The following is a 27,948-nucleotide window of genomic DNA, read 5'->3' on the forward strand; positions in this document are numbered from 1 at the left end:
AATTAAAGCAACTCAATATAAATTATTCAGGAAACTAAAATATAAGTTGAGACAGCCCAGTGGTTCTCTAACTTTACCATGTATAAGAATCATCTGGAAGGCTTGTTTAAACACAGTTTCCTTAGTCCTATCCCCAAATATTCTAATTCAGTGGGTCAGAGGAAGGTCCATAAATTTGCACTTCTAACAAGTTCCCAGGTAAAGCTGCTGTTGCCGATGCTAATACTGCTGGTCTGGGAACTGTATTTTTAGAAAGAGATAGCCAAACTAGGAGAGTAAAAGCATTAAGGTTATGGAGGATGAAATGCATTGGTGTTGCTCCAATACAATGTAAAACTTAGCATCACTAATGGTAGGTCATCCAGATATATCTCCTGTTGTGATGCAATATAGAATATACAGTATTACCTGACATTTTAATGCATTATATTAAAAAAATGTTTAACTTGGATGCACCAGGGCTTTAAAACTAACTTCCAATTTATAGGAAATACAGAGAACAGAACACTCCACAAAGAAACAATCAAACAAATCCAGAAGGTGGAGCATACCATGGGATAACTGTCTAGTCAGTGACATGAGAAAAAGTGGGGTGGGGAGGAAAACGCTACAAGATTAAAAGAAACTTAAAGAGATGACAATTAGGTGCAACATGTGTTTCTGGGTTAGACAAACAGCCATAAGGGACATTTTTGGGACAACTAGGGAAGACTGGGTAGGTTGATATTTTGCTGCCTTTGATATTTATTCTTACAGAATTAAATCTGTTAGGGCATAAATGTTCTGATGGACACTTAAGAATGTGACTCATAAATTAATGCTATTCCTATGATATTTAATTTAGAAATCCGAGTGCTTCCTATGTGTAAAGCAGAATACTGCATAACATTTAAATAATCCACTAAATAGGAAGTAGTTCCTTGTTGTTAGTCATGTGTAGCAGTCCTTAAATATATGATGCAAAAAAAAGGTAGGCTACTTTTTCAGGAATGAAGCAAAAAACTTGCCTTTTGCCCTTAATGGCACTGTTACAAACATAGTAAGTAGCATATACATATAAAATATGAAGGAAATAAACTCATCCAGAAGCATGCCCTTGCTTTCTGATTTTATATGTCAGCCTCTCCTTACTGCCATGACTTCACCTTCTGGCTGCTAGCAATCATGGAGTAAAAAGGAGGACCATAACTAAAACTAATTACTACAATACCAACTATCATTGACAAGTGCCTGCATCTAAAACTCTCATTAACAAAGTTTATGTCCATAGTAAATACTTTTGTTTTTGTTTTTGGCTTGCTGGAGTCAGTCCTTAATTATGTAATCTCCTCAAACAATATATCTTCTTTTCCCTATTAACAAGAACAGATGCAAACATTTGTCTAGAATTGTCCTGTTTGGTATTTCTTGTTAGCAATTAGCCAATTAACACCACTTAAAATTACACAAATATTCAGAAAGCCAGATCGTATTTTATTTCTAGAATTTGAGGACTTCAACAAAATAGAACTTGAGACTTTTTTTTTTCTCAATAGGTCAGTAACACCTATTGGTTTATGATGATAAGAGATAAGGGAAGACATCCCCCATCAAACACGTTTCAAATTAAGTCATTCAGCCAGTCGTCTGAAAACTGGGAAAATCATATTAAAGAATGAATTCTTTTTGTACCTTAACAATGCTACAAGTGAATTTAATTCTTTTTTTAAACTTATATACAGGTCAATAAGTATAACATCTAGCATAAAACCACAAATACTTGGTGGAAATGACTTTGGATACTTTGGATAATTACTTTGGAACTGGGTAGGTTTTATTTCTTTTGTAGGGTTGGGAGGGTACTTTTAAGTCACTACTTCATGAAAATTCTGGGCCTTGGGGCTTAGCTGGGCATTTAGTCATATAACTAGATTCACTGAATTTGCTATTACTGATTGTCTGAACTTCAAAGTTGTGGACAAGCCAACAAGAGGTAATCATACTTATCAAAGAGTAGAAAACTACTTTCTCTCACTACTTCATTGTTAGCTCTTTTGCTTCAATCTGCAGTCAAGTACTCAAGTTTGTTATGAAAGACTCCCCAGCTCCCAGAAAAAGTTGGTGACACTGTCTAAGCTTTAAATATTTGAGACAACTGGTCAGGATAATAGCTGGTAAGTACATCCAAATAAGTATGAATAGAATTAGTCTTCTGGTCAACCCCTAAAATACTGAAACTGTGCAGCAAGATCCAACGTATTATTCTTCACAACTTTCCAATATTGCTCTTTTTTTTTTTTGCCTTTTTTATTTTTATTTTTATTTATTTATTTATTTTTTATTGATCATTCTTGGGTGTTTCTCGCAGAGGGGGAGTTGGCAGGGTCATAGGACAATAGTGGAGGGAACGTCAGCAGATAAACAAGTGAACAAAGGTCTCTGGTTTTCCTAGGCAGAGGACCCTGCGGCCTTCGGCAGTGTTTGTGTCCCTGGGTACTTGAGATTAGGGAGTGGTGATGATTCTTAATGAGCATGCTGCCTTCAAGCATCTGTTAAACAAAGCACATCTTGCACCGCCCTTAATCCATTTAACCCTGAGTGGACACAGCACATGTTTCAGAGAGCACAGGGTTGGGGGTAAGGTCACCGATCAACAGGATCCCAAGGCAGAAGAATTTTTCTTGGTACAGAACAAAATGAAAAGTCTCCCATGTCTACTTCTTTCTACACAGACACGGCAACCATCCGATTTCTCAATCTTTTCCCCACCTTTCCCCCCTTTCTATTCCACAAAACCGCCATTGTCATCCCGGCCCGTTCTCAATGAGCTGTTGGGTACACCTCCCAGACGGGGTGGTGGCCGGGCAGAGGAGCTCCTCACATCCCAGTAGGGGCAGCCGGGCAGAGGCGCCCCTCACCTCCCGGACGGGGCGGCTGGCCGGGCATGGGGCTGACCCCCCCCACCTCCCTCCCGGACGGGGCGGCTGGCCGGGCAGAGGGGCTCCTCACTTCCCAGTAGGGGCGGCCGGGCAGAGGCGCCCCTCACCTCCCGGACGGGGCGGCTGGCCGGGTTGGGGGCTGACCCTCCCGCCTCCCTCCCGGACGGGGCGGCTGGCCGGGCAGAGGGGCTCCTCACTTTCCAGTAGGGGCGGCCGGGCAGAGGCGCCCCTCACCTCCCGGACGGGGTGGCCGGCCGGGCGGGGGGCTGACCCCCCCACCTCCCTCCCGGACAGGGCAGCCGGCCGGGTGGGGGTCTGACCCCCCCACCTCCCTCCCGGACGGGGCGGCTGGCCGGGCGGGGGGCTGACCCCCTCACCTCCCTCCCGGACGGGGCGGCTGGCCGGGCAGAGGGGCTCCTCACTTCCCAGTAGGGGCGGCTGGGCAGAGGCGCCCCTCACCTCCCGGACGGGGCGGCTGGCCGGGTCGGGGGCTGACCCCCCCACCTCCCTCCCGGACGGGGCGCCAATATTGCTCTTTATGGATGCACTTACACATTCTGTATATACTTTTTAAAACCAACCTGCAGGCCCTCTACATCCTGAAGCCAGTCTCTGGCTCTCTGCACTGAGTCTTTCAGAGCCGCACCATTGGGCAGATATGCAGGGATCTCTTCGATTTCCTTTACTGCCGTAGCAAGGCTATTCAATGAATGTCGTGGCCTACAAAATGCAAACAAAGACTTCTTAGCATTTTATATGATGGTTCATTTTTCTTATGGTTACCAAAAAAACTAGCATTTCAAAGGAAATTCAGTATGGCAAATAATTTTTTTCAAATGACATTGTCTATTCCTGTTGAAAATTATCTGCACTGTTTTCTTGCAGAACAGTGCCTATTAACTCTCACACATTTCTCTTTAAGACTCCTTGGAACCGTATTAACTGTGAGTTTAAACAGCTTCACCTATTTGTAAATATTTTCCTCTCTCAAAGACACGATATTAACAGGATCCAGGGAAATTTCATTAAACCAACTCTAGAAAAGGTGTGTCCAATTGAATTATTCATTTTTAATCAGTAAAATAAGAAAAAATTAACATTCTTTTACTCAGGTCCCAAAGCAGCTCCAAATATCTCAGCTATTTCTACATGTCTTCCACATGCATAATAACCGCAGCTACTGAGCACTTGCCATAGACCAATCATTGTGCTCTGTGTTTAAGCTGGAGATAACTGTCCAACCTTCCCAAAGAAAGAGAAGTCTGCTTTTTCACCTGGCCTTGAGGAGACTCTTGGCTTTGTCGTCCCAGTGCTCTGACACTGTGAGCAGTTCCTGCAGCCGGGCCATAGCTTTCTCCACTGCTGAATACGGGGCCAGCCCTACCCCTAGGTCTATGAGACGTCTCATATCATCTAAAGTAAGGGAGCTGGGGTCTAGGCAAGCTTGCTGCACCTCTTCTAGCCAACGGGCTTGTTCCAAACGGATACGCATCTCAGCAAGCTGTGGAAGTTCAACATCAAATTCAAAGCTGACATCTAGCAAGTCCTGCAGCTCCGCAGCACTAGGCGTTTCCTCAGAGAGTAGTTTCTGACTATGCTGTTGAAAATCTTCTACACGATTCAAGAGATCCTAAAAAAAAATACACAGGTTGTTGCATTAAAACAGTAATTTCAGTAATTGGCTTCTTTCAAACTTAGAATCTTAAATTCATATTCAATGAGATCCCATTTAATTTTAGTAATAATATAGGTAAATAAGATAACACATAAGCCAACTAACAGCAAATACTAAGTGACTATAACAGACACCTTATCCCAGCTTAAACTAGCTGAGGTCACTTTCTCTTTTTTTTTTTTTCTGCAACCTCCGCCTCTTGGGTTCAAGCGATTCTCCTGCTTCAGCCTCCCAAGTAGCTGGGACTACAGGCATGCACCACCATGCCCGGCTAATTTTTCTATTTTTAGTAGAGATGGGGTTTCACCATATTGGTCAGGCTGGTCTTGAACTCCTGACCTCATGATCCACCTCCTCAGCCTCCCAAAGTGCTGGGGTTACAGGTGTGAGCCACCATGCCCAGCCAAGGTCACTTTCAAAGTAAAAATTTCCAACTTTATTTCCCCTCTGTGGATCTACTATAATCTCTTTATATACATATACCACTCAATAGGTTATTAAAAGCATCTGCAAATAAATGTACATATTAATCATCAAAGAAGATTACTTAGTAATATCAATAGAGTTTATATACAAAATACAGGATTACCAAAGTATTCTCCCACACATCCCTCTATGGTTACCTTTAGTAATGGTGTCTGACTGAGGACACATGGAAGAGCATACAGCTGTGTTACAAACTGCCGGAGCTCATTCACTGTCAACTGATTTTGGGATTTCCCTCCACCAGATCGATATCTGTAAAGACAAAGGCCCAAGGAAGCCATATAAGAATACATACATGTCCACCACACCCAGGTGGTCACAGAAATTCAAGACAGGAGTCACAACAGGTTTCCAAACATAGGTGCCAAAGAATCCAAACTCACGCAGTCAGAAGCGCATACCTAGTTTGCCTTTTGCCATTAAGCAACTGCTGCGCAACAGAGGCACACTTCTCTGCATCCTGTGTGACTAGGCGAAGGTGTCGCAAAAGATCATTGTCTGGGAATTTCTTCATTTCAGATTCTTCAATTAAAGCCTTGAAGCTGACAAGGCCTAGGAATGAAGAAAAAAGTCATATTTTCTGTAATCATTATGTTTATTACTACTGGTATGAAATTCAGAGGAGACTGGTTTTGTCAGTTCTTGTCTAGAAATGTAACTTACAAATGTTTGCAATGCTTTAAATTATTAACAAATTTGTTGATTTGATTTTTGCAGGGTGGTGGCTGAACACGGAGTTTTTTAAACAAGTGCCTAGAGTTGAACTTAAATATAAAAATGCTAAGACCTGACATGTTTTAGGGCGGGTACAGTGGCTCACGCCTGTAAATCCCAGCAATTTGCAAGGCCAAGGCAGGAAGATCACTTGAGGCCAGGAGTTTAACACCAGCCTGGTCAACACAAGCAAGATCTCCTCTCTACAAAATTAAAGAACTTAGCCAGCCATGGTGGCACACAACTGTAGTCCCAACTATTTGACAAACTAAAGCAGGAGGATTACTTAAACCCAGGATTTCAAGGCTGCGGTGAGCCACGACCATGCCACTGCACTCCAGTTGAGATGACAGAGCAAGACCTTGTCTCAAAAAAAAAAAAAAAAAAAAAAAAAAAACACCTGGCATGTTTAAAATAGACAAAAAGAAGAAAACAACTGACTTATGAAAGCAAAGTAAATATAAATCTTATTGTGGCTTGAACCACTTCTTCCTCCTGCATTTTATTCTGCAGTTAGTGAGTAACTAGTGTGCTCAGTTACTAGAGCACAGGAGACTCAGAGACAATGATATTGCTCCTTTCCCCTAAATAAAAGCGGGTGGAGTTACGTGTTGGGCTACAGAAATGGAAGCAAGTGAAAACACTCTGAAAGAGAAATGGACTGGTACAAAAACAGACACACAGACTAACAGAACAGAATAGAGAACCCAGAAATAAAAAGGCACACCTACAACTATCTGATCTTCAACTAATCTAACAAAAACAAGCAATGGAGAAAGGATTCCCTATTCAATAAATGGTGCTGGAATAACAGCTAGCCATATGCAGAAGATTAAAACTGGACCCCTTCCTTACACCATATACAAAAATTAACTCAAGAGGAATGAAAGACTTAAATGTAAAACCCAAAAATATAAAAACCCTGGATGACAACCTAGGCAATACCTGTCAGGACATAGGCACAGGCAAAGATTTCATGAAGATGCCAAAAGCAACTTCAACAAAAGCAAAAACTGACAAATGGGATCTAATTAAAGAGCTTCTGCACAGCAAAAGAAACTATCATCAGAGTGAATAGACAACCTACAGAATGGGAGAAAATACTTGCAAACTGTGCATCTGACAAAGGTCTAATATCCAGCATATATAAGGAACTTAAAACAAATTTACAAGAAAAAAACATTAAAAAGTAGGCAAAGGATATGAAAAGATACTTTTCAAAAGAAGACATACGTATGGCCAACAATCATATGAAAAAAAGCTCAACATCACTGATCATTAGAGAAATGCAAATCAAAACTACAATGAAAGGCCGGGCGCAGTGGCTCACGCCTGTAATCCCAGTACTTTGGGAGGCCGAGGCAGGCAGATCACAAGGTCAGGAGTTCAAGGCCAGCCTGACTAACATGGTGAAATCCTGTCTCTACTAAAAATACAAAAATTAGCTGGGCATGTTGGCACGTGCCTGTAGTCCCAGCTACACAGGAGGCTGAGGCAGGAGAATTGCTTGAACCCAGGAGGTGGAGGTTGCAGTGAGCCGAGATCGCACCACTGCACTCCAGTCTGGGTGACAGAGCAAGACTCCGTCTCAAAACAAAAACAAAAACAAACAAAAAAAACACCACAATGAGATATCACCTCATACCAGTCAGAATGGCTATTATTAAAAAGTCAAAAAGTAACATGCTGGCAAGGTTGTGGAGAAAAGGGAACGCATATACACTGTTGGTAGAAGTGTAAATTAGTTCAACGATTGTGGAAGACAGTGTGGTGATTCTTCAAAGATCTAAAGACTGAAATACCATTTGACCGAGCAATGCCATTACTGGGTATATACCCAAAGGAATATACATCATTCCATTTATAAAGACACATGCATGTGTATGTTCACTGCAACACTATTCACAATAGCAAAGACATAGAATCAACCTAAATACCCATCAATGATAGACTGGATAAAGAAAAATGTGGTACATATACACCATGGAATACTATGCAGCCATAAAAAAGAATGAGCTCGTGTCCTTTGCAGGAACATGGATGGAACTGGAGGCAATTAGTTAGCAAACTAACACTAGGAACAGGAAAGCAAATACTGCATATTCTCACTTATTAAGTGGGAGCTAAATGATGAAAACACATGGATGCATACAGGGGAGTAACACGTGAACACATACAGGGGAACAACACACAATGGAGCCTATTGGAGGGTGGAGGGCAGGAGGAGGGAGAGGCTCCAGAAAAATAACTAATGGGTACTAAGCTTAATACCTGGATGATGAAATAATCTGTACAACAAACGCCCATGACACAAGTTTATCTATGTAACAAGCTTGCACATATACCCCTGAGGTGAAAAGTAAAAAGCAAAAAACAAACTATATTTTCATAAGAAAAAAGAGAGAGAGAGATATAAAGGGTAGCAGTGACTTTCAAAGGTAATGACAAGTGCCAGGGACCTTAACTTTAATTAGAACTAAGAAGTGATAAACTACCATTTCAGAGACTCCTGATTTAGTGTCATGCTGCCTTTGTCACAAGATGCTTTGTTTTTGTTTTTGTTTTTTTAAAGATTTCAACATCTTTGTAAGAAATGTGAAATTTTTATTTCTGAGACAAAAATAAAGGTTTCCTAACAATATCGTTTTTGTTAAGTAAGTGATGTTGCACAACTCATATAACAAAATTTCACTGGGATGTAAGGGCAACTGCCTTATCCACTCTTGGTTTTAAAACCTTCTCTGCCGGTGCTCTGTAAACCGGGCTATGTAGAGGGGCTAACCAAGGATGAGGTCAGGCTGTTTCAAGAAATGTTTTGTTGACTTTAATTTGGCTACATCACAATAAGCCCCAATTTGCCAATCACCAAGTCACTTTCTGTATCACATACTTTTCTTCTTGTTGATCTTTGCCTCCAAAGCTTCATTCACATTCAAGGCCCATTCGTTGTAAGATTCTGCTCGAAGCTTCAATGCATTCATCATAGGGTAGAGATCATCCAGCGTGTACCTATACCTGGAAATAATACCACCACACTTAGCTTTGAGACGTGTAGCTTTGGAGAAAACTAGATGTTTTATACTTAACATTTCAGCCCTAGAACTGCGGTATCATTGAGCTTTTAGTAAGGATCAACTGTTTTCCATAGGAAAAAAAATCGTTCTTCCTACTTACCGCAATTTATATTTGTAAGGAGGACAGGAACACAATTCTTTTACATGATGCAGGCAAACAAGAAGGCCAGGTTTACAAGAACAGGAGATGGCAGACATGAAGCATGTAGTTTTGCATTTTACACACTGACGTTCATCATCTGGCAACAGCTCAAAATCCATTCTTTCCGAATCAATCACTCCCTAGAATAAAGTATACTTTAGAGAGACCTCCAAAGGATAATATAATCCACCAGCCCAAGACAAACATGCAGTAGTACTTGAGTCTGAAAAAAAAAAAAAAGCTTTACCAAAATAGGGATGCATGATTAAAAATGTGTGGCATACAAAGAAACAAATGACCTAGCAAATACAGGCAAGTTCATTTGTCTAGGGAGATCTCCTTTTTCAGACAAGGCAGGTCCTTATGTTTGGTCATTTTGATCTGAGTATGAACACCATAGGACTGTAAAACTACTGAGATTAGTTATCTGTTCTACTACAAATTAGCCTTGTCCACATTTTGGGTATAGATAAGAGGTATAGATAAGATTAAAAGAAAGGAATATGTTTCCTACTTCTGAGGAAATATGGAGAATCTATTAAAAGGACAAAAATAAAAGGAAAGAAGATGGGACGAGTGGAAAAGACTATCGTGCAGAAATTGAGTTTGGGAAGATGCTGAGTGGTCTCTCAGCCTTTTACAGGAAGTTATATGAAAGGATATCATTAACTGAATAGTTAGAAAATTTGTGCAATAGCAAAGACTAAAGTCATAATTAAACATTTCCTCCTAAAAGACTGTCAGGAAAAATAAGGTCTTGAACCAGTAAATTTCAACATAATCTGTACCACCTAACATCTAGAGAACCCTTCTTGGATACACCTTTTGTCATTTAAAGACCAAACTTCTATCACCTTTTCTCCCTATCTAAAACTGGATCCTAATCCAGCCTTGAGAATGCCAGTCGTTTATGAACTACTGGGCTTCTTTCTTTTATTCTGTTATCCTGTATTTTAACCTTTTAACTATTTCATATCTGCCAATTATATGGGCCAACAAAGATGAGGAAGGTAAGGAAAATGCTAATTAGATTTTGGTTTTATTCTTGAATTGGTCATTAAAAAGGACTTCATGGGATGGAGAAAGTTAACATTTTTGTTTAAAATAAGATTAAGGACCAACTCCATGGATTTTAATTGAGAATCAATCATGTAGTTCATACCTAATTTTAATTTGTAAATTCCATATATGGAAAAAGTCTCAGAGTTCTAAAAATGAGCTACCATTTTTGATGTAAGACTTTGGTAAGTTACTTAAACCCTCTGGGCACTATTTTCCCCCAACTGTAAAATATAAGAGGGTAAGGTAGGTAACCTGCTGTTAAAATGTAAATGGGCTGCAGAGAGCCAATATTCCAGGATTCTACCCAAAAAGGCACATATTTTTAAAAAAAAAAAAAAAAACAGTATTACTATTTGCAGATATTATTATTCTAAAAGAATCCATGAAAAAGCTACTGGGAATTAAGTGACTTTAGCAAGGTCTCAGGAGACAAGGTCAATATACAAGTCAATTGTCTCTCTAAATACTAGCAATAAACAATTAGAAATTCAGTTTTTAAAAGTACAATTTATAATAGTGCCAAAAAACATGCAATATAAAATTATACTATGTTCATGAATTGGAAGACTCAATATTATTAAGATATCAATTCTCCCCCAAACTATCCATAGTTTCATGCAGTCTCAATCAAAATTCCAACAGGAATTGATTTGGTAGAAATCAATAAGCTGATTCTAAAATGTACATTAAAAAAAGTAAAAGAGATAAAACAATTTTTTAAAAAAAACAAAGTTAGAAGACTCATACTACCTGATTTCAAGACTTCTTAGAAAGCTACAATAATCAAGACCATTTAGTATTAGCAATAGAATAGATGCATAGATCACCAGAACACAAGAGTCCAGAAATAGACCCATACTTATGTGGTGAATTGATTTTCAACAAAGGTGCCAAAGCAATTTAATGAAGAAAAGATAGTCTTTTCAAGAAATGCTGCTGGAAGAACTAGATATCCACATGCAAAAAAATGAACCTTGACTCATATTTTTGAAAAACAAAAATTACTTGAAATAGATGAAAGACCTAAATGTAAAACTTCAAACTATGAAATTCTAGATGACTTTGTAGGAGAAAATCTTTGTAACTTTGGATTAGGCAAGATTTATTAAATAGGAAACCAAAAAAACATGATTCACACAAGAAAATAATTAACAAACTGGACTTCATCAAAATGAAAAACTCCTGCTTGCTGAAAGACACTGGTAGGAAAATCAAAGACAAGCCACAGACTGGGAGAAAACATTAGCAAAACACCTATCTGATTTAAAAAAAAAAAAACTGGTATGCAGAATACATAAAGAATTATTACAAAAACCAAATGTTTTAAAAAAATAAAGGGCAAGCCGGGTGTGGTGGCTCACGCCTGTAATCCCAGCACATTGGGAGGTTGAGTTGGGTGGATAGCTTGAACCCAGGAGTTTGAGACCAGCCTGGGCAACATAGTGAGACCCTGTTTCTACAAAACATTTTTTTTAAAGGGGCAAGACATTTGAACAGCTACTTCAAAGAGACATATGTACATGTGGCAAATAAGATAGTGAATAAAAATTAAAACCACGAGATACTACTATACATCTATTACAATGGCCTCAAAGAAAATAGGCTTTAAAAAGACTGCTTAAAATGATATTAAAGTGCGTAAAAATTTTACTAAATAATACCCAATGACAACATGCAGTTGGATTTCCATAAGCCTTACCAATTTACGGACAGTTTCTCTTAAAGCTTTCTCATCCTCAATCATAATGGCCATGTCTTTCTGAACAGTTGAAGCCACTACAACATCTAATACATCAGCCTTGGAAGCCATCTTGCAGATCATCTCATCGTGGGAAAACACACAATATCGATGAAGCAAGCGATAATGCTCCACACACTGTCGGCCTAATGGCAGCTGTATCAAAACACGGAAAGAAAAAAATAACATTCATCTTTCTTCTATTTCCAAACACCTCTGACCCATTATTATCAAATTACCAAACATCACACTATGGGTCTTAACACGTATCATTTACCAACCCTAAAACCAGACTCTGGGCCAGGTAGATGGCTCACACCTGTAATTCCAACACTTTGGGAGGCCAAGCCTTGCTTGAGTCTAAGAATTGGAGACCAGCCTGTGCAGTATGGTGAAATCCCATCTCTACAAACAAATATAAACATTAGTCGGGTGTGGCGGTGCACGCCTGTAGTCCCATCTACTCTGGAGGCTGATGTGGAAGGATTGCTTGAGCCTGGGAGGTCGAGGCTGCAATGAGCCATGATTGCACCACTGCACTCCAGCCTGGGTGACAGAGCGAGACTGTCTCGAAAAAATTTAAAAAACAAACAAAACACCAGACTCATAAAATTCCTAGCCTAGGCCCTATTTATCTTTGCATCCCAAAGATCTGTAATCTTACATATCTTAATTAAAAAGTGGTTAAAAAAAAAAAAAAGACCCAGCATATTAACAATGTATGAGTATCTACAACAATGTAGAATCTAATTAGAAGTATGACCTTATATATTTCCTGAAATAATTGTGCTGAACTGGTATGATCAACCTACTTCAGGGAATAATACTCTGAAAAACTACTTAATGGGAAATAAGTATAGATATAGCAAGTGCCATTATAACAAAGTTATAATTCATTAGCTTTAACACCACTTAATCTAGAACTTTTTAGGTAAATGAAAAGTATTAATACAAATATAAAAATTAAACTTTACAACTAATGAAACCAAATGTGTCCTTAAATTGCTGTACTGCAGATAATGTAAGCTAGTACTATACAAAGCCTTTAGACTGGAATTATTTATCAGTTTGCAATGAGATACTGAGCTTCAGCCAGAATGTAAATCAATAGACTCCATTCTTCATCAACAAAGTCTTGCTACAAAAGAAAAAACATCAGCTGAACTAAGCAGTATGCTTAGGTAATTCATGCTTGATTTACACTGTGGTACAAGTGCTTTATCTCATTGTGGACTGGTAAACAATTTGCAGACTGACCAGCTGAGCAGTAATGGGTCAAGGCAACTATCCATGTGACATTTATTTATTTTTTTGAGACAGAGTTTCAGTCTGTTGCCCAGGCTGGAGTGCAATGGCGTGATCTTGGCTCACTGCGACCTCCACCTCCTGGGTTCAAGTGATTCTCCTGCCTCAGCCTCCCAAGTAATTGGGATTACAGGCGCCCACCGCCACGCCTAATTTTTGTATTTTTAGTAGAGATGGGGCTTCACCATGTTGGCCAGGCTGGTCTCGAACTCCTGACCTCAGGTGATCTGCCCACCTTGGCTTCCGAAAGCGCTGGGATTATAGGCATGAGCTACCGCACCCAGCCCACATGACACTTTAAAACATTATATTCCATTTCCTCAGGAAAAACAATAAATTTGAAAAGGTTAACTACATTGTAATTACATACCCAATCAACAGTGCAGAAGTTAACAGCCTCAGCAAAATTAAAACCCTGGTTAAAACCACTGTGGTAGGCTCTTGGAAATGTAATCACAAACTCCCCAGCACACTGATTAGTTCGGTAAACCTAAAGAGACAGAAATTGAAGATTTTTGAGTTTCTTAAAGAGTGACATTGTTACTAAAGACAATCTGGACACAGTCTATTAGATAATTTTCAAAAAAAGGCAGCTTTCTGAAATTGAGCCAGAAAAAACAAATTATTATAGTAGAATATCACCTAGAGATACTAATTTATGTCACAAGATGGAGCAGTATCCCAGACTACCAAAGTTGATTAGTATCTGAACACAAAACAAAAATGTGCCCATATTAAGGTTCAAGGTATAACTTTTAAAAACAGCTGCAATTAAGAATATCCTAATATATTATTATTACCCCTCAAGTAGCATCTTCTACCACCAATTAAAGCAATCCCACTCTATTTCAAGAATCTCATAACATACAGAGGTCCTCCTCATTTGGAACTCAAACTTACCTCCCATCATTCCCTTCTTCCTACCACCACCCTCACCCCAAAAGTACCTATATTGCTCTAGGCACACAAATCCTTATACTGAGCTTATTATTATATAATAATATTAGATTCCTTTTCAAGCATCTACATTTCTACACCAATGCTTACCTAGTGTACGGTCCCCCAGAACAAAAGCATCAACATCCACTAGGAGCTTGTTGGAAATGCAAATCCTGAAGCCCCACTCAGACTAACAAAATAACAGGATCAGAAATTCTAGGGGTGGAGACCAGCCATCTGTGTAGTAATACGGCCTTCAGGGTTCTGTGTAAAGACTACTACCCATCACAGGAACACCATATCTTCTACTTGGAATACTTCCTCCTTCCCTGACTCTGCCAAACATGTGATAATTTATCAGAGTTCCAGCTCCTACTACAGATGTCATCTCATTTAAGAGCCCTTTCTGATTCTCAATAGAGTTATTAGATCAGTCTCATAGTTGTCACCACTGTCAAACCACACCACCCTTGTATTATCTGTATAAACATTATCTTTTACTTCAGATAATGAATCCCTAAATGCACAAGGAGTTCATTCATCTATCTCTGTAGGTCCAGAATCTAACTCCAGAAAGTTTGCTCAATTATTAAAGAACCAGGGTCAGGTCTCAATTAAAGCAATCTACTCTTAACAAATTGGAAAAAACAGTCAACATGAGGAAAGAAAAATATTATGAGAAGAAATACCAACTATGAGGAGATGGTGAGATTGTGGTGCTTACTGGTGATTACTTTCTAAGCTATGGTCCATGCATAATTTATAATGCCTCAAATGAAAGTCCTTTCTGTTGTCTCCATTGACTAGCCTATGAACCCAAAAGCATAAACTTTAGGTCACAACAAGTTCACTTTAACACTGTAAATGTATCATTTACATTTTATTTAGCTAAGATGGACTCTTCATACATTTCAATATGGCTTCCCAAATGTCTTCAGAGTATTCTCCAAAAGGAAGCCAGTATAGTTGTGCACCATGTAACAACATTTTGGTCACAGACAGACCACATATCAATGGTGATCTGTAAGATTATAATACCATATTTTCACTGTACCTTTTCTGTTTAGATACATTTAAATACACAAATCCTTACTATTGTGTTACAGCTATCTAAGGTATTCAGTACAGTAACATGCTGTACAAATTTGTAGCCCAGCAGCAATAGCCTACACCATACAGCCTAGGTGTGTAGTTGGCTATACCATCTAGGTTTGTGTAAGTACACTCCATGAAGTTCACATGACAACAAAATCACCTAGCAACGCATTTCTCAGAACATATCCCTGTTGTTAGGTTTCCCATGACTGTATAGTTGTCACTTCATTTAGCAACCTCTAGACTTTTCAGTCAGACTGGGCACCCTAAAATACAAGCTCAAGACCTTGAAATAGATTTTCACTTATAAATACACTAAAACCAATGAATTGCAATTATTACTTGCAAAGGAAGGCTGTTTAGCAATCTAGTTATCAGCTGCAACAAATTAGTTTTTGTGGTATCTAAGGATCCAGTCCTACTGAGTAAATGTACAGTACTGCAGCAAAACAGCTGTTTCTGCTATCAAGTCATGCTATGGAAAACACAGAACTAAATCAACATCATAAAAAAGTGAATAAAAAGGAAAAAGAGAAGTGGTGAATTAAGCTTGAGTGGCAGGAGGATTAACCCAGAACATACAGGCACTTCATGAGTCATCAGGGTATTGGGGTTCATGATGGTCACAAGCTGATGGAGGAGATCCGGCTGGGACACAAAGAGTTCTGGAGCTAGTTTCTTCATTACATTTTCTAGCTGCTCAGCAGCATACCCTGGGACTCCATACCAGGTTTTTGGCTCACCCCTGGAAATAGATTATAAAAATAAATCAATCTGCAACACCAACACAAACAAAATGGGTTACCAGTTCATATTTTTCAGACTCGGCTTTGTAAGACTACGCAAAAAAGGAATCCACAAACTGACGAAATATCATTAGAAATGTGAATGTGAGCCAGGTGCTGTGGCTCACGTCTGTAATCCCAGCACTTTGGGAGACTGAGGCGGGTAGATCACGAGGTCAGGAGTTCAAGACCAGCCTGGCCAACATGGTGAAACCCCATCTCTATTAAAAATACAAAATTAGCCAGGCATGGTGGCAGGCACCTGTAATCCCAGCTACTTGGGAGGCTGAGGCAGAAGATTCACTTGACCCCAGGAGGTGGAGGATCCAGTGAGCAGAGATCACACCATTGCATTCCTGCCTGGGTGACAAGAGCAAGACTCCATCTCAAAAAAAACAAAAAAGGAATGTGATGTGAACATATGTAATGCATTTTCCCCCTTCAAGTATGAACAGAAGACTTTCCATCTGAACATCTGAAGTCCCTCTCCCCACTCTCATTTTTATCTGACTCTTTAGAAAATGCAGACACCTAGAATTTCTCTTTTGTTGTTGTTGTTTTTTTTTTGTTTTTTTTTTTTGAGACTGAGTCTTGCTGTGTTGTCCATGCTGAAGTGCAATGACGCAATCTTGGCTCACTGCAACCTCCACCTCCCAGGTTCAAGCAATTCTCCTGCCTCAGCCTCCCGAGTAGCTAGTATTACAGGCGTGCACCACCATGCCCAGCTAATTTTTGTATTTTTAGTGGACACGGGGTTTCACCATGTTGCCAGGCTGGTCTCGAACTCCTGACCTCAGGTGAACCGCCCGCCTCAGCTTAGTGCTGAGATTACAGGCGTGAGCCACCATGCCCAGCCAATATCCAGAATTTCTAAGAATATAAGGTATCGTATTCACTTCAGGATATGTTGTTATCACAGTTTCCTAAAGCAACCCACAAGGGTAAGGCAACTTTCCATTTTTCTTTTCCCTTGCCCATTCTGGCAGACGAAGTTAAATCAAACACTAGTAAGGCAATTAGCATTTCTAAGGAATTCTTATTCTTCAAAGGACTTTAAATTATCAAACAATTTATCTGTATCATCCCTGCGAGGTATGGTAAATATAATATTCATTTTACAGCTGGGAGAAACTGCCTAGGGAAGCAGAATTAATTCTATACATATATATGCCAATTCTCTTTCTTGTGGTACATCCTCAAATTCCTTGTGTGAGGATTTGAGTGAGTTACAGATTTTCAAATATTTTTATATTTAGAAGAAAAATAGAGAAGAAAACAGATGTGAAGAAATGGCTTGAAGAGTTTAAAAAGTAAAGAAGCCCAAATATCTGCACATCCCTCCCGCCTTGCCCCCTCAATGTGCACACCAAGATAAGGCTCACTCTACTGTGCATAGTGATACCTGAATTCAACACAACAAAAGAGAGGCTAGTCATTACACAGACCTGGAGGACACTGTGGTACCTACTATAATTCACGCTTCTCCCAAAGGGGTATCCAGGCTAGCACTGCCACCAAATGGGATTTTCTATAGTAAAAGTAACTTTTATTTAGAATATGCTTTTTCTATAGGTAAATACTTCTTTTTGTTTTGAGGCAGAGTTTCGCTCTGTTGCCCAGGCAGGAGTGCAATGGTGCGGTCTCTTGGCTCACTGCAACCTCTGCCTCCCAGGATCAAGTGATTCTCCTCCCTCCACCTCCCAAGTAGCTGGGATTATAGGTGCTCACCACCACACCCAGCTAATTTTCATATTTTTAGTAAAGACGGGGTTTCTCCATGTTGGCCAGGCTGGTCTCGAACTCCTGACCTCAGGTGATCCGCCCATCTTGGCCTCCCAAACTGCTGGGATTACAGGCGTGAGCCACTGCACCCGGCCTAGACAAAGACTTCCTTACTTCAGATAAAAACTACCCTTCCCCCAGAATTACGTTGTTCTTGCAAAGTAGTGTGTGTGCAATTTCAGGGAATTCATGGATGCTCTAGGAATCTTAAGAACCACTGTCTTAACTTGTCAGGATGCCTGTTCTAACAGAAGTGAAAAACCTTAGGGAAAAAAGTAGTTCAATGCTCTTCAGACACAGTTAAGACACATCTGCACTGAAAAGGAAAGTTTTCCTATCCAGCATGCATACTACTCATGGGTTCTTTTTGGAACTTCTCACCAGTGCAAGTAGTTAATTGAATAGCTCCAGTGGTCTTCAATGTGCCAACAGAATGAAGAAAAGCACATTCCCACATACAACCAAGGAAGTTTCATGCCACATATATCAGCAGTAATATGTGCAAGGACAGACTGCTCCATCACTGGCATGTTGTTCAAATTCCAGCCACTATCAAGATACTCCTAAAAATAAGAAGACAAAAGAGGATAAAGGTTTAGCTATACAATGCTAACGTTTTAGAAGGCCAGCTAAAAATATTATCCTTCAAAATAAAAAAAGAAATGTGGAAGAGGAGGGGCCACCATGCTGACCTTCTAGGATGCCCAGAGATTCGTTTTGCCCAGTTTTGAGCTTTGTATAAATGGACTCACACAGCACATACTTCTGTATCTGTCTCTTTTTAAATATATATAGAGGAACATAAGCCATGAGTCCACTTTAACAAAGTTCAAAATCAGGCAAACTAATCTATAGTGTTAGAAGTCAGGATAGTGATTATCCTGAGGGCATAGTGCTCGTCCTGAAAGAGGAAAAGTAGTGAAGGAGAGCGGGCGAAAAGGGAACTTCTGGGGTGCTGGGAATATCCTATTTCTTGTTTTAGTTAGTGCTGGTTACATGGGTGTGTTCAGCTTGTGGAAATTCATCAGTCTGTATACATATAACTATGTACTTTTCTGATCATATGTAATACTTTCAAAGAAAACTACCAAAAAAAAAAAAAAATCACACTTTCCTACCAAGATAGAAACAGAACTCTTCCTAAGAGTTCGCTAGTATGGAAAAAAATACTCAAAAATATTAAAGTTTGAAAATAAATAGACCTGGTCTCAGGCCTTCAGGTTTTCTTCAGAAGGAGAAACCAAGGTTATAAAATCTGAAGGCAAAGGATGATAAGTAATTTTCCCCTATGACCACAACATAGTGACATAGTTAGGACTAGAATTCTTCTGTAGGCTCTTTCTACTTTTCTTGAAATCATTAAAAATCTGGTAATTAAGGATTTGCTAAAAGTAATCATAAGTTACTTCAAGCCAACCAAACAGAATTTCAATAAATACCTCAATTTCCAAGCCACTTATATGCCTACCTCTTCCTCAGGTGAGAGTTTGATTTTCCCATCTCGGACAGGAAAGCCACTGCCAAATTCCTTTGAGGCAATGTCAGCTCCATATTCCACTGTGACATCCTCCTCAATAGTGCTTACTAGTCTCCAAAATTCTTTCTCAACAAGCTCTGTGGGGACCATCTGGAAATACAAGGAATAGAAAAAATGAGTTTCCTCACAAACTGTCTGTGACCAATTAAGCTCAGTGATGGGAATCAAAGAACAGCATCCTAAGGAAAAATTGTGTCTATAATGTTCTATAATTGATCTTAGGCAATTCAGGAAACCTCTACTGTCTAAAAGGAATTTATGTTCCTCTATCACCAGCCAGGCCACAACTGTAAAAGGGAGCCAAGGAAAGCAATTATTTATGACCGGGAGATATTTCTGTGTTTCAAAAAATGTAACATAAACTGTATAGTAATAATGGTTAGTTGTGTCTGAATGACGTATAGCACTGTACAGTTGACAACAGCACAGTAATAAGGTTTGTTGTTTCAATGATGCTTTATACTTTGAGATGCTTTCAAATACATTACCTGAGTCCATCCTTTCATTCTTTTCACTGGACCTGTCTGAGAGCAATGTAGGCAACCAACACAAAAAACACAGTATATAGCAGTGGTCGCCAGTGTCCCTGTGTTTTTGGCACCAGGGATGGGTTTCATGGAAGGCAATTTTTCCATGGATGGGGAAGGGCAGGGCGCAAGGGCTGGGAGGTGGGGGGGGGATTAGATTCTCATAAGGAACATGCAACCTAGATCCTTTGCATAGGCAGTTCACAATAGGGTTTGCCCTCCTATGAGACTCTAATGCAGCCACTGATCTGACAGGACGCAGAGCTCGGGTGTAATGTTTGCCCACTGATCACCTCCTGCTGTGTGGCCCTGTTCCTAACAGGCCACCGACTGGTATTGGTCAATGGCCAGGTTGGGAAAGGGTGGTTGGGGACTTCCAGTATATATGATATAACAAAAGGAGCAACTTGTAGCAGCACGCCCTTAGAATAAAGAGTCACCAGACTAAATGTCAATCTGTTGTTAATCTGGTGTAAATCCAGAGGCAGGTAACATTTAAATGTCTATCCCTCAATGTCCTCATCTAATATTCTGTCAAAATATACAGTTAACCACAAATAGAAGAGGTTACATGCAAGTCATCAGGATTGGTTAAGCAAACATATTGGCAAATATTATAACACATAAGGAAGTCAAGAGAACTGAAAATTCAAATGGAGTATAAATTTAAGTCCATTAAATAAGCAAACATTTTAAGTAACTAATAGCTGATGTTAGAGGTGCTGGGGAAAAACAAATTCACTCATATATTGCTGGGATCCATAAATTGATACAGCAACTGGGATGGAATGAGGGAGAATGACTCTCATCTGACCTCAATAATCATCCCAAGAAAATCATCCAATTAAAGAGTACTACATGCATAAAGGGTTTGCTGCAGTGCTTTATTAGTAGTGACAAAAATCATAGCTTAAATATCCAGAATTAAAGCATTACATTTTGGTGTACTCATTTGATGGAGTATTAAATGCTGAATGGAAAATGCTTATGCTTCAAAGTGCATAAAGGGGAATTAAAAATGGACTCATCCTGAAATTTATAATACTAACTTATGATTACATAACAATATACAACAAATGTGTTCCCAATGCATAGTACACCTTGGCACACAGCAGTCATTTAATACATTTTGTGAAGTATTCTTTATATTTGTTGGGCCAAAATGATTGCTGATGATTTTCTTTATTAGTGTTCTATTACTGGTGCTGTATAATCTGTGTGGAAGAGGTATCTTTAGAGAAATTCTAAAATAAAAAATTAGAATGCTTTTTAAAGTATTGTGAAATTTTAAATACCACAAAACAAATTAAAGTTTCATTCTGCTTTCTGTGTGACAATGCCTACTAGAGTGAGGCCTCAACTAAAAATGGGTCTTCAGGTACACTTTTCTCCAAAAGCTATTAAAATCCTAAATCAAAGCAGTATATATGTACATACATGGACTGGCATGTTGAAGTAATCAGATTTGAACGCATCTGCCATTTCCCCAAAAGTACGGAGGGTATAGTCCCTGGCTGCTTGTTCAAAGCCAAATGCTTCTTGTGGCTTACTACATTCCTGAAAATAAAGAAAATTACGTTCTAGGTGACACTGAAAACATCAAGTATACTTGGTCAATCATCAAGCTGGCAGATAAAAAACAAGGCTTTAATTTGTTTATTTTACTTCTATGCTAGGTCTACATTATAAAAATAAACCTGCCTGAAAAATGTGGTTATTTTAATAAGCAAGTGAAATACATTTTATTTATTTGCTAATGAGCAAATAAAATGTCAATTTTAACAACCACAACTTGGATAAATTTATATATTTATAAGAGGCAGGCTAAAGACTCGACTTCCTTCAAAATCAAATAATGTTTTCAATACTGAAAATGAGAGCAATAATGTCCTCCTGGGAGTTAAAACTATAAAATCAACATACAATAGATCAAAATAGAGATAAACCACTTGATGGAAACAGAATGGCTCTCAGGCCAGCAATATTTGATTATAACCTAATACTGGGAGTTAACAGGGGCAGTATAAGCTGCCTTAGATCTTTGTGAGCCAATAGACTTGAATATTCCAGATCCATTGATAAGGTCATCCCTATTATGAGGTATTAAATAATTTATCCCTGTCCCATGCCTAATAACCTCCCATTGATGGAGATATCCTTATGTTGTAACATAGCTACGTGGAAAAGCACTCAAACCTTTATAGCCATGCTATACTTAAAATAAACCTCCTTACTATTATAATTCAACCCTAAGAAGGGTAATAGACTGACTGCTACATAATATTAATGCAAAATAATCCTAATGGCTGGGTGCAGTGGCTCACACCTGTAATCCGGCACTTTGGGAGGCTGGGGCAGGAGGATCACCTGAGCTCCGGAGTTCTGAGACCAGCATGGACAACGTGGCAAAACCCTGTCTCTACTAAAAAATACAAAAATTAGCTGGGCATGGTGGTGCAAGCCTGTAGTCCCAGCTACTTGGGAGGCTGAGACGGGAGGATCACTTGAGCTGGGGAGGCGGAGGTTGCAGTGAGCTGAGATCACGCCACTGCACTCCACTGTACTCCAGCCTGGGTGATAGAGTGAGATCCTGTCTCAAAAAAAAAAAAAAAAAAATCCTCATGAAGATAATCGTAGATCCTTTTTAGATTTTACCAATGACAGCATGCACTATTAAAAACATCAGTAATCACAGTGCTACATGAAAATGTCTCTATAAATGAAAAAAGCAGATTACTAATAATTACTTATATAATGTAGCTCCATTTGTTTAAAATAGAAAAAAGTCTGGATGAATATACACCAAGACATTAACAGTGGTTATATATGCATTGTGAAAGCATAACTCTACTTTTTAAGTTGTTCAATGTTTTAATAATTCTTGCAAAGAGCATGTGATGCTTTTTATAAGAATTAAAAAATAATAATAAGATACTTATTACAAATTATTTTCTGCCTCTTAACTACCCACATACATTGTGGAACTCACTTCTAAGACCTCTTTCCTATTCAGGTCCATCCCAGTTTTCTTCATGGGCCTCATTACTGTCGACTGCCAAATCTAAAACCCAAAGGCAGGCCAAGTGAGATGGCTCAGACCTGTAATCCCAGCAATTTGGAAGGCCGAGGTAGGAGGACTATTTGAGCTTAGGAGTTCGAGACCAGCCCTGGGCAACATGGTGAAACCCCCTCTGTACAAAGAATACAAAAATTAGCCAGGCATCATGGCATGGGCCTGTAGTCCCAGCTACGTGGGGGGGGCTGAGGTGGGAGAACTGCTTGAGCCAGGGAGGTTGATGCTGCAGTGAGCCATGTTTGTGCCACTGCACTCCAGCCTGGGCAACAAAGTGAGTCCTTGTCTAAAAAAAATAAAATAAAATAAAATAAAAAATAAAACTCAAAGGCAAAGAAAAATGCCCTAAAAAAATTTTTCTAGTGTTACCTCTACTATTAATTATTACCTGAGCCAAACACTTAGGACACCTCCAGTCTCCCTTGGGAACATCATGGAGAGGTGGGATCAAGCAAAAGGTATGGTAACTGTCATCACAGCCATCACACAACAGTAGCCGGTCTTCATCATTGCCACTGCCACATAAAAGACAGACATACAGGTCCACCTGTAGCAATAAAAGTGGGTACAGAACAAAGGAACATGAGCTATTATTTGATTTTCTAAAATTCTAGAAATGAAATGGATCTGAGACATAATCTAGTCTCTACATCCTGCTACAAATGCTTCAACCTCTATAAGGGATATTTTAAATAAAAATGTTTCACTTTCTATGAAGGATATTTCACAATACCTCATGCATACCAAATCTAAAGTGGAATCTCCTAGCTTTCTCAACTGTCATGTGTTTAAAGTTTGTTATTTAAAGACCTAGTTTTTAGTAGGTTCCAAAACAACAAGATGCTAAGGTTATAGGCCAAGAGTGGTGGCACGTGTCTGTAGTTCCAACTACTTGGGGAATTGAGACAGGAGGATTTCTTGAGCCTGGTAGGTCAAAGTTGGAGTGAGCCCTTATTGCACCACTGCGCTCTAGCCTGGGTGACAGAGACCCTGTCTCAGGAGAAAAAAAAAAAAGATACCAGGTAATACATTACCAACCTAACCAAAAGTAGAATTTATGAAGGAAAAATACAAGTTTTCCATATTTAAAACAAAACTGTCTTAAAGTTAACCACATTAAACTACCAATTTAGGCCTGGCACGGTGGCTTAAGCCTGTAATCCCAACACTTTTGGGGGCCCTGGCAGGACTGCTTGAAGCCAGGAGTTTGAGACCAGCCTGGGCAACATGGCGAGACACTGTCTCTACAAGAAATTTAAAAAAGAAAAATTAGCCGGGCATGGTGGTGCACACCTGTGGTCCCAGCTACTTAAGAGGCTGGGGCAAAAGGATCCCTTGAGCCCAGGAGTTCAAGGCAGCAGTAGCTATGATTGTGTCACTATACTCCAGCCATCTCTAAAAAAATAAAAATAAACTATCACTTTTAATTCTAATTAAGGGGACATGGTTCAGAAGTTCCCCTAATGCCCAGTGATAAAGCATAGTTATTACTTTTTATGGGGTATACTGTATTCCCCCCAAAAACTCACATGTTGAAGTCCTAACCCTCAGTACCTCAGAATGTGACTATATTTGGAAATGAGTCCTTACGGAGGTAATCATCCAATATGACTGCTGTCCTTATAAGGACAAAGATATGTACAGAGGAAAGACCATGTGAAAGACAGCCATCCACAGCCAAGGAAAGAGGGCTCAGAAGAAATCAACCCTGCCAACACCTTGATCTCAAATTTCCCAGCCTATACAACTGTGAAAAAATAAATTTCTGTTGTTTAAGCCACTCAGTCTGCGGCACATCCTTATGGCAGCCACAGCAAACTGATACATTACTCAATACTAGAAAGCTGAGAATTCAACTAAATGGGGAGTCTGTTGCAGTCTATTTATTGTAGCAAATAAAAATCTAGCTCTGTCAGTTTTCTGATTGTATTGGGGAGAGGGGGTGGGGCAGAAGGTGACATTTATGGAGAGAACATTCAATTAGAATAATTTCTAGTTCCAAGAAAAAAAAGCACCGTTTCAGGCTCTCAGAAGGGGGCAGAGAAGAACCAGATCCTTTCTAATGCCATCAGGCTTTACTTTTAATAAAAGTTTTCCACAGAATAAACAGCTCCCAGCCCTCTAACTCTGCCATGTCCTCTTCCCTATTCCTAACTGCTTTCCTTTGTTCCTTTTCCTTTTCTTCCTTCCTTCTCTACTTCCTTTTCATTCCTTCCTTCCTTCCTCTTCCTTCTTCCTTTCTCTTTTTTGTTCCTTCTTTTCATTTCCTTCCTTCCCTTTGCTAGCTGGGAAGTTGGAAAACACTAACTTGGATTTTTGAGCGAGCCTTCAGCTCATGTAGAAGTGAGCTAGTGATTTATGAGCAATTCTATGTATAATGAGCTAGATTACAGTTCATTATTAGTCAGTGCTAAACTGAATGTATTCCAGAAAATCGCAGTCAATGCCGCCCCGGATGTTACTACCATCTTTATAGTATGATCATGTATTTCCTCATTTATTAACTAACACTATAAACTGACTTCAGAAGATATTTTTATTGTCAGACACTAAGTTAAACAATCTTATTTAAGGTACAAATTTAAGTTTAAACTTGGGGGTAAAGGGGATTAAAGAAAGGAAGGGAAGAAGGAAAACAGGAAAGAAAAAGGAGAAAGGGAGATGTCACTCACAGCATTGGTGGCTTTTTTAGATCGACTCTTGGGCTTTTCCTTCTCATTTTCTACAATATAATCTTTCCTCTCAATAGGTTCTTGCTTGATGCTACTCTTCATTTCTTTCTCTGTAGGAGGCAATCCAAAATTAGCTCTTTATGATGCTTTTCTCCACTTCCTCATCATCTCCCTCCCAAAGCACATACTGTACACAAACATAATTTCATGTGTGTTTTCACATTTTAGTAGCAATAGCACCCAGTATACTTTATTCAAGGGCTCAAATGCTGATTACTTTATGATAAAATGCAAACTCTTGTGCCATTTAAATTTCAAGATGTAGATTACTTCTGGAGATGTCCCTCAGGTTTGTATGCTTTCAAAATAGGAATTAGTTTTCTCAAGACCAAGACATAACATATACCGATGAAATCAAATTCCTGTTGGCCATGACTACAAGAGACCAACAGTTCACCAACTATATCTCCTCCACATAACACATTATCTCTCCATGATCTAAGATGACTTCCTGGTCATCCTCCTGGTCTCCAAATTCCTGGTTCTGAAGACTGAGAAGTTTGGCGAAAACACTGGCTATCAATTACTGAACTATCATGTGGTAGGCATTGTGCTCAATGCTTTCCATAAAGTATTTAATCCTTCACAACAAACCCATTTCAAAGGTAAGAAAACTGATGTTAAAGTAAATCAAGAAACATCTCTAAGGTTACATAACTAGTTAGCGGTTGTGCCAAGATTACTGTATTACTTTATATTGTATCTCTATTACTTTCCTGTGCATTGTGCTGCCTTTCCACTAGTTCACTAATCCCTAGGTTGAACAAATTTTAGTAACTTCTTAATTTGTATGTGCCTCCTATATAGGATATAAGATTTCTCTTAAAAGAATCTCAAATCCACCTCTCAGTGACTTACATCAAGTGATACCCAGGCAAGCAATTAACCACAATTCAGATTTAGGAAGCATGTCTGTTTGCCTTGCCTGAAATAAATCTATCAGACATTCGGTCAAAGGCACCTATGTTTTTCACAAATTACTTAAGTAACTGCATTGAATCAAATTTCAAAGTAGCAACTTGCTACAGCTGAGAAACTCATCCACACTCCTAATATGCATACATATAGTTTCTGTTTCTCTCTCCCACTAGTCAGTTAATTATGAGAACAAGGACACTGTTGATATATTAAGATTTTCTCAAAGCCCAACCCAGTGACTACTATGTACTGGCTGCTCTAAATTTTACTTTTTAATTTTTTTCTATTGAATTTTCAGCTTATGTTTACTTATGAATAGTTATTTTTACTTTATTTACTTTTTCTTTCCTATTCATTGACAAATTTTCTTACCATTTTCACATTTTGGAGTTGGACAACCCATTCGACGTCTCAGATTATGAGTTCTGGCTTCCGTTGTCTCCTCGGGTTCTATTTTAATATTCATGGCCTTAAAAAAATTGTCATATACATGAATATTTCCTTTAAGAAGAAATAATCTTTAAAAATCCAACTGGAATCTCAAGGTGACTATATCCTACCAATTGCCTCTATTAACAGGGCATTCAAAACATACTTCTCTCTCTTCCTAAGGAAGAGAGCTCACCTTTGAAACTACTATTAAAGCATGAATGAGAAATTTAAAAATAGGGAAAAGTTGGCCAGGCACAGTGGTTCACACCTGTAATCGCAGCACTTTGGGAGGCTGAGGCAGGCAGATCACTTAAGGTCAGGAGTTCAAGACCAGCCTGGCTAACAGTGAAACCCTGTCTCTACTAAAATTACAAAAAGTAGCCGGGCATGGTGGCACGCACCTGTAGTCCCAGCTACTTGGGAGGCTGAGGCAGGAGAATCGCTTGAACCTGGGAGATGGAGGCTGCAGTGAGCTGAGATGGTGCCATTGCACTCCAGCCTGGGTGACAGAGCAAGACTCTATCTCAAAAACAAACAAACAAACAAAAAAACAAATAGGGAAAAGTCAAAGGATCAAGAACAAATTGTGGCTGGGCGAGGTGCCTCACACCTGTAATCCCAGCATTTTGGGGGGGCCAAGGCAGGTGGATCACTTGAGGCCAGGAGTTTGAGATCAGCCTGCCATAATGGCAAAACCCCATCTCTAACTAAAAATACAAAAATTAGCCAGGTGTTGTGCACACCTGTGGTCCCAGCTACTCAGGAGGCTGAGGCATGAGATTTGCTTGAACCCAGGAGGCAGAGGTTGCAGTGAGCCAAGACCACACCACTATACTCCAGCCTGGGCAACAAGAGCCAATCTCTGTCTCAAAACAAAGAGAAGTGTTTCTATTCAAATTCGGAAGAACAATTCTTATTTTCCTCCTAGAAGGTTCTTGGTTCTTATCTATTTGCTTTATGCTTTATTCAATCATCGCAATAAGCCAAATCCTAAGTAGTTATATAAATGTCATA

The 27,948-nt window shown here is 39.3% G+C and overlaps 1 protein-coding gene across 6 annotated transcripts in view; it reads right to left on the reverse strand.

The window, feature by feature from the left end:
* Positions 1-27,948, reverse strand: part of KDM5B (lysine demethylase 5B) — an 83,927-nt gene that overhangs the window by 12,680 nt on the left and 43,299 nt on the right. For all 6 annotated transcript variants that reach the window (NM_001399817.1, NM_001347591.2, NM_006618.5 and 3 more), the window contains 15 exons: positions 26,875-26,971; positions 25,525-25,634; positions 23,241-23,399; positions 21,217-21,336; positions 19,184-19,342; positions 18,097-18,278; positions 15,731-15,893; positions 13,485-13,604; positions 11,771-11,965; positions 8,968-9,149; positions 8,684-8,808; positions 5,481-5,631; positions 5,217-5,331; positions 4,193-4,548; positions 3,500-3,638 (listed from right to left, as the gene is read on the reverse strand). In NM_001399817.1, the coding sequence (NP_001386746.1) occupies positions 3,500-3,638; positions 4,193-4,548; positions 5,217-5,331; positions 5,481-5,631; positions 8,684-8,808; positions 8,968-9,149; positions 11,771-11,965; positions 13,485-13,604; positions 15,731-15,893; positions 18,097-18,278; positions 19,184-19,342; positions 21,217-21,336; positions 23,241-23,399; positions 25,525-25,634; positions 26,875-26,971 (2,373 nt within the window). The remainder of the gene's footprint in view (positions 1-3,499; positions 3,639-4,192; positions 4,549-5,216; positions 5,332-5,480; positions 5,632-8,683; positions 8,809-8,967; positions 9,150-11,770; positions 11,966-13,484; positions 13,605-15,730; positions 15,894-18,096; positions 18,279-19,183; positions 19,343-21,216; positions 21,337-23,240; positions 23,400-25,524; positions 25,635-26,874; positions 26,972-27,948) is intronic.

The sequence above is a fragment of the Homo sapiens genome, chromosome 1 (assembly GCF_000001405.40).
Source record: "Homo sapiens chromosome 1, GRCh38.p14 Primary Assembly".
Taxonomy (NCBI): Eukaryota; Metazoa; Chordata; class Mammalia; order Primates; family Hominidae; genus Homo; species Homo sapiens.